Source organism: Homo sapiens, chromosome 3, assembly GCF_000001405.40.
Source record: "Homo sapiens chromosome 3, GRCh38.p14 Primary Assembly".
Taxonomy (NCBI): domain Eukaryota; kingdom Metazoa; phylum Chordata; class Mammalia; order Primates; family Hominidae; genus Homo; species Homo sapiens.
In genome coordinates, this window is record NC_000003.12 from 69,911,716 (window position 1) to 69,924,668 (window position 12,953).

At 38.3% G+C, this 12,953-nt stretch overlaps 1 protein-coding gene across 9 annotated transcripts in view, besides 3 other annotated features; it reads left to right on the top strand.

Moving 5' to 3' along the window:
- Nucleotides 1-12,953, top strand: part of MITF (melanocyte inducing transcription factor) — a 228,869-nt gene that overhangs the window by 172,252 nt on the left and 43,664 nt on the right. The gene's annotated exons all lie outside the window — the stretch shown is intronic.
- Nucleotides 10,320-11,725: an enhancer, noted in NCBI's record as "SacI/SmaI fragment". NCBI's record gives the evidence for it as "EXISTENCE:reporter gene assay evidence [ECO:0000049][PMID:12028584]".
- Nucleotides 10,775-11,071: an enhancer, noted in NCBI's record as "-14.8 to -14.3 core enhancer". NCBI's record gives the evidence for it as "EXISTENCE:reporter gene assay evidence [ECO:0000049][PMID:12028584]".
- Nucleotides 11,042-11,071: a protein binding site, noted in NCBI's record as "SOX10 sites S2/S1". NCBI's record gives its function as "promotes enhancer activity" and the evidence as "EXISTENCE:protein binding evidence [ECO:0000024][PMID:12028584]".

Genomic DNA, 12,953 nt, shown 5'->3' on the forward strand with positions numbered 1-12,953 from the left:
ACAGATACAAATAGTATTTTACAATCAGCTTGGAAAAATTTAGAGAGCCTGATAATGGTATGTTTGGAGAGAAAAGGAAATCAGAACCTTCATACATTGCTAGTGAGAGCAAAGATGGTACAAATACCTTGAAGAACAGTTTGGCAATATTTAATAAAGTTTCCAGTGTGTGCAACCTACCATTTAATGATTCCACCTCAGGGCTTACACCCTGCAGAAGCCATAAAGGAGACAAACATGGGGATGTTCACTGCAGCATTATCTGTGATTGCAACAAACTGCAGTCAACCTAAATGCCCATCAATAAGGGAGTAGATTACATGGCACATCATAAAGGAGAGAAAATAAATGAATTAGATGGGTGTGTTTTTTCATGGATAGATCTCAGAAACTAAATATTGAGTGATAAAAGCAAGTTTGTTCAAGCACATGTATGGTCAACAAGTATGTAATTTTTGAAGAAAATCACACAAAGTTATAGGTGCTATCTTGCAAAAGCATAAACACATGGATTGGATGACTACACATCAAATTCTGGGTAATAGTTGCCTCTGGGGAGGGAGAGCAGGGAACTTATGGGGCTTATTGTTGTCTTCAATATTTAATACAAAGCAAACATGGTAATATTTTTGGTTTTTTTTCATTCTGGGAGACAGAACAATGACTATTCTATCATTTACCACAAATTTTAAAAGTTAACAAAAAAGGTAAGGAATACTTTCAGGGAAATAAAAGTAATGAGGCGCATCTCAACCAAGGTGTTCATCAGAAACTTGCCATCACTGTATTTGCTTGCACATGTTCTAGTCATCTCTGTTGGTATTTTCCCTCATACTATCATAATCTTTTAGGACAGGAACTTTGCCTATGATTTCTTTGAAGCCAAGCCTCATGCAATTTACCAAAGAAAGTATGATCATCATTCTATAAGCCACACACAGAAATTGTTAGAAAGCTTCACAAACCTGCTAGAGTCAGTGTTGGGGAAAGTGTGGGTGAATGGGCACTTGGATCCTCTGTTGGTTAGAATATAAACAGAATTGCTTTTTGCAAGGAATTTGGGCTGCATCTCTCAACATGGAAAACAGGCAGTCTCTTTGGCCAACTATCCTCTACCTCAAAGACCCCACACTCCAGAAAGCCTATATAAAGGTCCAGTATGTTCATAATGCAAGAATATTCAATTCTGCATTACTTACCATAGTGAAAATTGAGAACAATAGAAATGCCTTTGAATCTGGGAATGATTTAAAATTTTTAGTAATAAAATGGAACATTTGGTGGCTGCTTTTGAAAAGAAAGATAGATCTAGGTGTGTTGACATGGAAAGTTGTCTAGGATATATTATTATTATTTAAAAAGCAAGCGGCAGAAAAATATGTATCATGTAACCAGATGTTTGTTTTGAATGGATGTATATAGATATATAATTATATTTTATTTAATTCTATTTGAATTAGCCTATAAATAAAGCAGAGAATGCATGTAAACTCTTAAATTAATTAAAGAGTAGAGATAAGAGAGAGTAGGGAGTGGGGGCTTTTTGTATTTGTTTATATTTGTCTTTATTCTTTTGGGATTTTTTGATGAGCTTGTTTTCTCATTTTTAATGTACAGTGTTAGTAGTATTACTGATGTCTGAATGACACTTCCACCTAAAGATATGAAGGAAGCACGTCATGTATTGCATTTCATGTTTTATACCACTATTTTTCTTTAGGAGATGAATTCTTCCTTGAGAGATCTCATTTGCCTTTTTAGTAATCTAAGGTTTTTCTAAGACTCCAAAGAAACCTGAGGTAATGGAGCAGTGACAATGGTGCACAGTTGAGTTTGCATGAAGGTGACTCAGATTTCAGCCCTTGAGGTGCCTGATCATCACACATAGTGATTGACTGCATCTCATTTATGATGGTGCAGTCTACTCTTTTCAGATATAAATAATAGCACAGCTCATTGGACAGGAAGGGAGAGCCAGGTAGTTCCCTGGTTGCATGGGTGTGTAAACTAGGCCAGTGATTTTACATCATCCTAACGAACGTATTAATAGCATGATAAAACGAAGGCCCTTGAATTGTTTTGGTGGTGATGCCTACTCAACCTTCCCATATTCAAGATGATATAAAGCTGTAACAGGCTTTCAGAAATGCAGTCTAGATTTGATATAGTGCTTTTTATTAACTGTGACACAATGGATTATGGCACTTCAAATGAGAAGGGGAATTTTCTTCCTTTTTGAAATGTGAATTAACAAAATGCTTATTCTCAGTAGAAGTTGTTTTCATGGGCTTTTCCATTTATTTCTGCTGTGGTTGCCTTCCTCTACTGCCTCTTTGCTAGACAGGCAAACAGTCACACACACATAGTTCATATACCCATTAAATCATGCTATTAGAATGGAACTTTTTTGTTTGTTTGTTTTTTGAGTTGGAGTCTCACTTTGTCACCCAGGCTGGAGTACAATGGTGTGATCTTGGCTCACTGCAACCTCTGCCTCCCGGGTTCAAGAGATTCTCCTGCCTCAGCCTTTTGAGTAGCTGGAATTACAGGCACATGCCACCACAACTGGCTAATTTTTGTATTTTTAGTAGAGACAGGGTTTCACCATGTTGGCCAGGCTGGTCTTGAACTCTTGACCTCAGGTGATCCGCCTCCCTCGGCCTCCCAAAGTGCTGGGATTACAGGCATGAGCCACCACACCCAGCCTGAACAACTCTGTTTTTGAGGAACGGTTTTATATTTCAGAAGAGGATATTTCAATTGGGTCATGCTGGGAAAACTCCCCAGGAGATGAACCTGCCACTTCATCGTGCAGTTATTGTCTGTACTTGCACAAATTATTGCTTCTTCTGGCTTGGGATACTTCATCTACTTGTGAGTTGGCAGTAGTGACACCTACCTGTCCCCCCCTGGAGCACTGGGCTGATGTCATCATTGTGCGGTGTTGGATGAGTAAGTACTCGAGAAAGGGTGATTGCCAAGGGCTGGGTAGTTCTTCAGGGGGATGGGCTGTGTTAGTTGCCTGGTTGTTAAAATAGGAGATTAAGAAGAGGAATCCTGAGCCTGACTTCTTCCTTTGCAACCCATGACCTCATTTTGTCTGACTTTTTTCCTTTAGCAGTTAAGGCCATTATACTCTACAGATATATTCCAGAGGAAGTGGAGGGCTCCACCTTTAAAAATAATAAGCAATTCAGGACAGTTCATATAAAGTCAGGATTTGAATAGATATTTATTAAATGTCTGCCATGAGTAATGTATTCCACTAAGCACAAGGGGGAGATATAAAACGTAGTTTAGTAGGTTCTTCATAGGTTCTAATGAAATGTAAACACCTTACGAGAAGTGTATTCCTTTATGTCACAAGGAACCCTTGTGTTCTGTAGGTCAATCACTGTGCAATACTACGTAGATTCAGAGATAGTTATTAAGCATAATAAATCAATCACACTTTTCTCTAAAGCTCAGTAGAGATACTACCTGTCTCCACATATTACATTTGATTGTAAGATACAGCCTAGAGAAAAATGTTAGAATCTCATTGCAGTGATTTCCAATGGGAAGAAATCTAAGAGAATCCATTCATTTGAGATTTTCTGTATTATAAAATTATTTTCTAAACCAGAGTCTATAATAGATTTCCTTTAAACACAAGAATATATATCATAAGCATAATAAAAATGAATCATACCACACAATTCTTGTTTGTATAAAGAAATCCTAATACATGAAAATTAATGAATGATATTGCCACTTCATATATATATTTGTATGTACAAATATTTATATATATTTAAATATGTACCTATTTAAAATATATATATTTATAACCTAATGCCTGTATTTACAGGATTAATAAAACCATAACCCTATGTCAGAGTTTTTAATAGCTAGCAACAATAAGCAACTTTTGTTAATTTTGAAAGAAAATGAATTTATTGACAGGGTATTGGGTTACCTGCTGAGTTGCTAGGCAGTAAGAAGACCAGGCTTGGAACCGGGAGCAGTACCTCTAACACACTGCAGAATTGGTCTGGAGAGCAATGGAAGCCTGCTTCTCTGTTTCTATTGCACCAATAATTCAGTCTTCCCACAGCCTTGCCCACTCCCTGTGGTCCCTGTTCCTTTTCCTTATCCTTTATCTCTAACACCTGAGTCCAGTGCAGAACACCTGATTGGTGGATCCTCAGTCACATGTTCATTCCCTAGCTGCAAGGGAGGCTGGCAAAGGAACACCTGCATTTTCTCATTTCTAGAGTAGGAGGATGATTCTGCAGCCAAAGCAATTGCCAAATTGTTATTACAATAATTATGCTAGAAAGTTTGAAAGGCAGAAAACATGAAAACATCATCATATTCCATTGTTCTGATACAAAACTATTTTAAAATAAAATTATCCCAGTCTTTTTCCTATTCATATGTTTTTACATTTGTGCAATCATAGATTTTATACTTTTACATCTGCATTTTATTTTCAGTGTCTTTTTTTATGTTGCTATATACACATATATCATTTTAAATAATCACATAATAATTCAAATAAACTGACTTATTTTGCCATTCTTCTAATGTCAGAGATTACTGATAAATTTTCATTATTTTGAAAAATAATTTTATGAACGTGTTCACATCTAAAGCTTTGGCATCTGAATGTTGTATTTGGGGCTTCAGAACCCAGAAGGAAATCTTATCAACCCTTGAGTCTTTAATAATAAAATTAGTATACTTGATTTATACCTTTCCTTAATTGACTTAAACACAAACACAGTCCTCCTTTTGATGTGAAATTTTACAAGTTCGGAATTGAGTGAGTTAAATTTGGGATTGTTTAAAAAATTTTAAACATTTTATGTAGGCAAGCTATGTTTGTTAAGCAAATATTTACTAAAAAGTACTGCTTTTTAATTTAATACTAGGAAAACAAATAAATGACCTAATAATAAATATCCTGTATCTAAACAAGGTAATATGATGCACATCATAATAAACTTATGACTGTCATATGACTGTTAACACTGACCTCAATATTTTTTAAAGTAAAAAGTTTCGATTTCATCACGATTACATATATCAGAATATTTTCCTTACCTTGGATGTTGTGAGTCAGTTACGGTATTTACAAGTGGATTCTTGTAGAATTAAGTGATATTATCATAAAATAAACACATCATGGTGTATTAGTTAGCCCCTTGGTAAATCTGCCAGTCTACCATTTTTAATATTTAGAATACCTTCTGTCTCCTGTAAGATTCTGGTATTGTTGCTTGTTCATTTGACATATGTTTAGTGCATGTCTAGTACATGTTGGACACTAAGTGTCCATATTATATGTCCAGTGCATGATGGGCAGCATATTAAGTAACAGGGTATAAAAACAAGAAAAACAAGAAGGACATCTGACCTGACATTTAGAGGCTTAAATCGAGCAGGTGATATTATAGTCTGGAAATGGATGTGTGTGGGTGTATCTGAAAAATCACAATAGACTGGTTCTGGGAATAATGACCGAAAAGTCTCTTTTGTGCATATTTAAGTTACTGGCATTAAGGTTAGTATGCATGGTTTGAGGACTTGGGACTGGGAAATTCTTAGGTATTGGTTACCATCCCTGACTTTGAAATATGAAAATATGATGATATTTGACTTGATACAGTTGCCTCCTTTTTTTTTTTTTTTTTTTTTGACATCTTTAGCCCTTAAAGTCAGCCTGGCTTATGATTCTGCTCTTAGATGAGGGTGGTTCATTCATGGTATGGTGCTGAAGAGGAATTAGTGTAGCAAAATCAGAAGGCTTGGGGAAAAGCATAGGGTTTTTCAGCATTAAATCTCTCCTTATATAACATTCCTTATATTCTTCTTCCCACTGATGATTCCATTTCTATCCCTTGGAATCTAGCAAAGGGCTATTTGTAGCTGCAAGTATTCCCTGGAATTGGGATCCTACAACATGTAAAGAGTCAAGAATCGTAAAATGTAATTTAAATTAATAATCCAGATCTGAACTGTACTCTCAGAGGTTAAACCAGACATAATCTTTCAGGATCTTGGTGGGCAGGTTGGTTGGTACATTTTATGTCTTAGGGATATGTATAGATCCTCCTTTAGAAAAGATAGAGACTGTTTTTTGTTTTTGTTTTTGTTTTTGTTTTTGAATAAGACAACTTTTGCTCCAGTTCTGCTAGCATGGTTGGGGACCACATTAAAATTCCACTTTGATCAATAGAAAGACAAATACCATAATGTTGTCAGAGTTTTTTTCTCAGCATGGGATTGTTATATGTTGTTCCTTCCTTTTGCTCATCCTTTTCTCTAAATTTTCTCCAGTCATGTACATTATGGGTTTTGGGGTTTTGTTTTTGTTTTTGTTGAGACACAGTCTCACTCTGTCACCCAGGCTGGAGTGCAGTGACATGGTCTCTGCTCACTACAACCTCCACCTCCCGGGTTCAAGTGATTCCTGTGCCTCAGCCTCCTGAGTAGCTGGGATTACAGGAGTTCACCACCATGCCTCGCTAAATTTTTTGTTTTCGCCATGTTGGCCAGGCTAGTCTCGAACTTCTGACCTCAAGTGATCTGCCTGCCTCAGCCTCCCACAGTGCTAGGATTACAGGTGTGAGTCACCACGCCTGGCCCACATTATATTTTTAATAAGGAAAGTAATAAAATTGGTGTCTTTTCCTGGTATTAAGGATGACAAGATGAATTCAATAAAATTTCCTTGGTGTTTTTTCTCTCGTATGTTCCTTTTTGTGACAACAATTTTGGGACTTTTAAAATAAGTATGTTTGCCATATCACTGATAGCAGTGCATTGATTACCTCTGAGAAATGAAGCCACGATGCATCCTGCATATTTGGTTGGTTTGGAGTCCAGCACATCAGGGTTCAGATCTCTGGTTATATGAAAGCAGGCAAGTCACATCAAGCTAGTTATGTAACCCTCTGCCCTCAGTTTCCTCATCTGTGAAGTGAGACTAGTGGTAGCACTTACATTCATTGTGAGCATCAAGAAATATTAATGTATGAAAAGGCTTGAGCATTATGCTTTGTATATAAGAGATGCTCAATAAAAGTTAACCTTCCTCTCTTATTTTCTTTTCTCTGAAGGGAGAGGGTGAGAATTGTTACAACTTATTCTCATACTCTCCAATAACTATTTTGAATATGGAAAATGGCATGGCTTGTTGTTAAGTAAATAATCATGTTCTATATTAGGGAAAAAGAATAAAAAATTTTGCATTATTTAGCCTTTTGTTATGTTTTTCCATAGTCATTTCTATTATTTCAAGAAATCTTTCTCTGTCTCTTCTCGCTCGTTCTCTTTTACATCCAAGGTTGACTTTCTAAGCATATTCAGTGGTAAAGGTATAACTGCATCATCCCATATTTCAATACCAAAACGGGGAGAAGAAAACACTTAAATTCAGCCACCACAGTGCATTTTCCAAAGTGTTAATTAAATAATATACATAATACAAGGAAGCTTCAGTTTGGCGATTGAAACCACTTGCCATTTTGCTAAAAGTAAGAGCCCATTTAAGTCCATTTAAGATCATTTGGGTCTGCACTTATTTGTCATGGGTATCATTTGAGACAAGAACTTTGTAGGAACAATCTTGTTTAATTTAATGCTATTTCTACTACTGTAGCTTTTGTTTTGTTTTGTTTTTCTAAGTGGTTTGCAGATAGTTTTGTAGGGAGGCAAATAATAAAATAAAACGATCTAGAATCTTTAAAACTGCAAAGAATTTGCCATTGAAGCATTAGGATTAAATTTTTTTTTGTAAACCCCCAAGACAACATTTGTGCATGTATGTGCATGTGTGTGTATATATCTAAAAACTATACTTTTTCCTTTCCTTCTAACTCTTTATTATGGAAAATTTCTAATAAATACAAAAGAATAGCACAATGTGCCTCTTGCCCCATCTCTGAGAGCATTTGGCACACTTCTATAATACTTGAAGAGCAATTAGAAAATAAAAGTCTGGGGTTATTTATAAAATTATGAACAAATGACTTTGGAAAGTTTAAAAAATAGATTGGAAAGAAATAACTTTTCAAAATGTAGGAAATGAACAGATGAAAAATTATTTGCTGGGGTTTTTTTTTGTTGCTGTTTTTTGTTGTTATTGTTGCTGCTGCTGTTGTTGTTTTCAGACAGTGTGGGCAGCAAGCCACCCAGGCGCCAAGGCAAGAGACCGAGGACACCAGCTGTTCCAGTATAATAAAATATAAAACAAGAATAGTTATACCAGATATAGATCTTAGATATGATTATATATGAATATCATTAATCATTAGTTTGTAGCAATTACTTTTTATTCCAATATTATAATAATCCTCTCTCTGTAATCATAACCTAGGAAAAACCAGGCCATACAGAGATAGGAGCTGAGGGGACTTAGTGAGGTGTGACCAGAAGACAAGAGTGCGAGCCTTCTGTTATGCCCAGACAGGGCCACCAGAGGGCTCCTTGGTCTAGCGGTGATGCCAGCATCTGGGAAGATGCCCGTTGCCAGGCGGACCCGTGGTCTAGCGGTAGCGGAAAGTGTCAAGGAACAACACCCACTACTTAGCAGACAGGGAAAGGGAGTCTCCTTTTCCCCGGGGGAGTTTAGAGAAGACTCTGCTCCTCCACCTCTTGTGGAGGGCCTGACATCAGTCAGGCTTGCCCGTGGTTTTCCGGAGGCCTAACCATCTCCCTGTGATGCTGTGCTTCGGTGGTCACACTCCTAGTCCGCCTTCATGTTCCATCCTGTACACCTGGCTCTGCCTTCTAGATAGCAGTAGTAAATTAGTGAAAGTAATAATAGTCTCTGATATGCAGAAATAATGGCGTAAGCTGTCTTTCTCTCTGTCTCCTCTCCCTCTCTGCCTCAGCTGCCAGGCAGGGAAGGGCTCCCTGTCCAGTGGACACGTGACCCATGTGACCTTACCTATCATTGGAGATGACTCACACTCTTTACCCTGCCCCTTTTGCTTTGTATCCAATAAATAACAGTGCAGCCAGACATTCGGGGCCACTACCGGTCTCCGCGCATTTGTGGTAGTGGTTCCCCGGGCCCAGCTGTCTTTTCTTTTATCTCTTTGTCTTGTGTCTTTATTTCTACACTCTCTCGTCACTGCACACGGGGAGAGACCCACCGACCCTGTGGGGCTGGTCCCTACAAGACAGAGTCTCACTCTGTTGCCCAGGCTGGAGTGCAGTGGCTCGACCTCGGCTCACTGCAACCTCCACCTCCCTGGTTCAAGCAATTCCCCTGCCTCAGCCTCCCAAGTAGCTGGGATTACAGGCACACGCCACCATGCCCAGATAATTTTTTTGTAGTTTTAGTAGAGACAGGGTTTCACCATGTTGGCCAGACACTGGTCTCGGACACCTAACCTCAGGCAGTCCATCTGCCTCGGCCTCCCAAAGTGCTGGGATTACAGGCGTGAGCCACTGCACCCGGCTGATTTGCTGTTTTATCATGGAGAATTTGGGAGAGTAAGGAGGCTATATGTGAAACTCCGTAAGCTTATTGTAAGCTAAGCATTAGCCAACTTCTGGTTTTGTTTGCAAGTATAGTAACGTTCCTTTATTTACTATTTTATCAGACATAAGAGACTTTTAAGTGACACTCTCAGATATCAATAATGCACTCATAGTTGATGTTCGGAATGACTCAGAAACACCAAAAGCAGATTCCTAGTGTGCTTTTTGAAACATTAGAATTGTTCAGCTTCATTCTATATAGTTTTAGGGCATAGTTTATCATTATTGTGTTGAATTGATCGTTCTTGATTTATAGCATAGCTTTTCCTGTCCATCTGACTGTCCAGAACTCAAATCAGTATGAATTCTTGAGTATTGAATTAGGCTATTTACAGTGAAGATGACGTTTCCTGCACCCTCCAATTAGCTAGAAACATCTCCTTTGCATGTCAAGACAAGATGTGAAATAACTCTTGATAACTGTGAATATCAGATATAAGAAGGAAGCATGTCAATAGTTCATGAGATACCTGTGCCATTCCTGGGGCTTGACTAGTTTCTGTGCCTTTTCTGAAATCTGCCACTGAAAGGAGTCGGGAAGGAAATTGGCACAGCCTCTTCTAGGATAGGATTTCTACACTGTGGCATTATTAACACTGGGACGAAAGAGTCTTTGTTTTGAAAGGCTGTCTTGTGCATCGTAGGATGTTTAGCATCACCGCTGGACTCTCGCATACTGGATGCCGGTAGTAGCACCCCCTCCTCACATAGTTATGACAACCAAAAGTATCTCCAGACATTGCCTAAAATTCCTTGAAGGGCAAAACTGCCTGTACAGTTGAGAGCTCCCATCTTAATAGGCAGGAGCACCTTACTGTAAATTTCTGTGTGGGTTACTCTCCCTGTTTCCCCCACCTAACCCTTGGGTTGTAAGCCCCTTGATGATAGAAATGAAGTATTTTCTTTCATGTTGAGGTCTCGCTTTCTTTTCTGTCTACCACACAATATATAGAGATTTGAGGATTGACTATGCCATTGCTTTTTTTTTCAGACGGAGTCTCACTCTGTCGCCAGGCTGGAGTGCGGTGGCACAATCTCAGCTCACTGCAGCCTCTGCCTCCTGGGTTCAGGTGATTCTCCTGCCTCAGCCTCCCAAGTAGCTGGGACTACAGGCATATGCCACCACACCCAGCTAATTTTTATATTTTTAGTAAAGTTAGGGTTTCACCATGTTGGCCAGGATGGTCTCGATCTCTTGACGTTGTGATCCACCTGCCTTGGCCTCCCAAAGTGCTGGGATTACAGGAGTGAGCCACCACACCCGGCCGCCATTGCTTTTTAGTTTTTGTTTTTATCCAAGCCACATAATATAGTGGGTTTTTAACAAAAGGGCAGTCTTGACATTTCTCTTCTTCCCGTTTTTGTTACTGCTTCACAACTGAGTACGTAACAACTGGTACTTCAGTGATACAGTGGCCTATTTTCTTTCTTATAAAAGACATTACTATATCATACAGTATTTTAACCTTTCCTTTACAAATCTCATGATACTGAGATGCCTTTGGTTAACAAAAATTGCCATTGAGTCTGGAAGATTGTTTGTTTGCTGACTGACCAGCCCCCTCATCTCATCCTTCTCACAAAGAAAGAAAGAAAGAAACAAACCCTCAACCCTTAAATTAGTCAAAGTCCTAAGGCAGTTTTCCCAGAACAAATGTCCATATTGACTTTCTCCGTTGTTAGGTCCTGTCCTTGTTGACCCGTTGCTGGCTTGAGGGGCTGATTCTGTTCACTTTGGAATTGGGTAGCGTTTTGGTTTAACAACAGTGTCCACCCAGCGGGGGACCAAATTCTCAGGAGAAGCCTTATTTATAATAAAGCACAAAAACAAATACTCAGAAGAAATAGTGATTACATAGGCCCTCTGAACAGTTTCAAAAGCAGAAATAATTCCGTTGAAAATATGAATCCTGTAAATAACTCATAGTTTGGTAGTGTTTCATAAAGTGATTAGGAGTAAGCCTCAATTTCCTCATGCTGAAAATGGGGATAATAACATCTGCTACTTCGTAGGATTGTAATGAGGATTAAATAAGTGAATCCATTGAAAACTTTCAGAAAAACTACCTGTAACATAGCACTCAGTAATTGCTTTATTTTCTTTCTTTTGGAGATGGAGTCTTGCTCTGTCACCTAGGCTGGAATGCATTGATGCGATCTTGGCTCATTGCAACCTCTGCCTCCCGGGTTCAATCAATTCTCCTGCCTCAGCCTCCTGAGTAGCTGGGACTGCAGGCACACACCACCACACCAGGCTAATTTTTGTATTTTTAGTAGAGATGGGGTTTCACCATGTTGGCCTGAAGTGATCGGCCTGCCTTGGCCTCCCAGAGTGCTGGGATTACAGGCATGAGTCACCACACCTAGCCTATTTTCACTTTTTAATTCTTCTCCTAATTATGAGGAGTCTCTATATCTTCCCATTTTCCTACCTCCTTTAAAATTCCTACCTATATTCTCCAAAGAAGTAGTCTATCCTCTTCCTCTTTATATGCATTATCCATTATTTTTATCACACAAATCCAAATGGGACTATCCAAACCACATATATTGGCCTGGTATAGGTGTGTCCTCCCTTTACAGATTTTTATAGATTTTCAAAAAATTTTAAATCTCTGAGAATTTGCTTTGTAGAGTATGATAAGTCATAGGTTTTTGTTTGTTTTTTTTTGGCAAAGTACTTTTTATAGTGAGGAAAAATAAAGCTCTGCCTAAATACCTATGTAAGCTTAAGTTTCAGTTGATTACGTGTTTTAGATGACATCCATGTAGATCATTGGCCAATTTGTTTGAAAGAGGTAGTCATGATTTTTTTGATCTGAAAAGGTCAATATGAATTCAGTTCTGTATCCCCTGCACAAGTTTTTTAAAAAATGTTTCATTTGTGGCTAAAACACACATTCCTGATTAGATCAATGAGAGCACTCCATGGGCAAATCCAGCTTATTTTGCTAGTTAACAAGATGTTTCTCTGAGTTCTCGTGCCAGCAACGCCACAGAAGAATCACAGGAATCCTCCTGAATCCATAATCAATTCATGCAACACCAAGTCAGATCTCTTAGAAGAAAATTGCTGGTGAAGGTCCAGAATAGCAAGCTAAAAAGCAGATATTTGATACTTGCAATAGGCTGATAGGTGTGCTAAGTGCTTGCTTAGTAAACATGCTACCATAACACTTTTCCTTTTATGGAGAAAGAGGACATAAATACATAAAAATAAAATATCAAATACATAAATATGTGTGCACTGTGTGAATATGTACAGGTTGTCTCAAATTTATACGAAAGCAGAGTGAATAATAGAATGAACCCTTCGCGTAACCCATCACCCAGCTTCGAGAGTTATTGACTCGGCTCATCCTGTTTCACGGATACCTCCCTCTAACTTGCAAATCCTAGACATAATTTCATCTTTA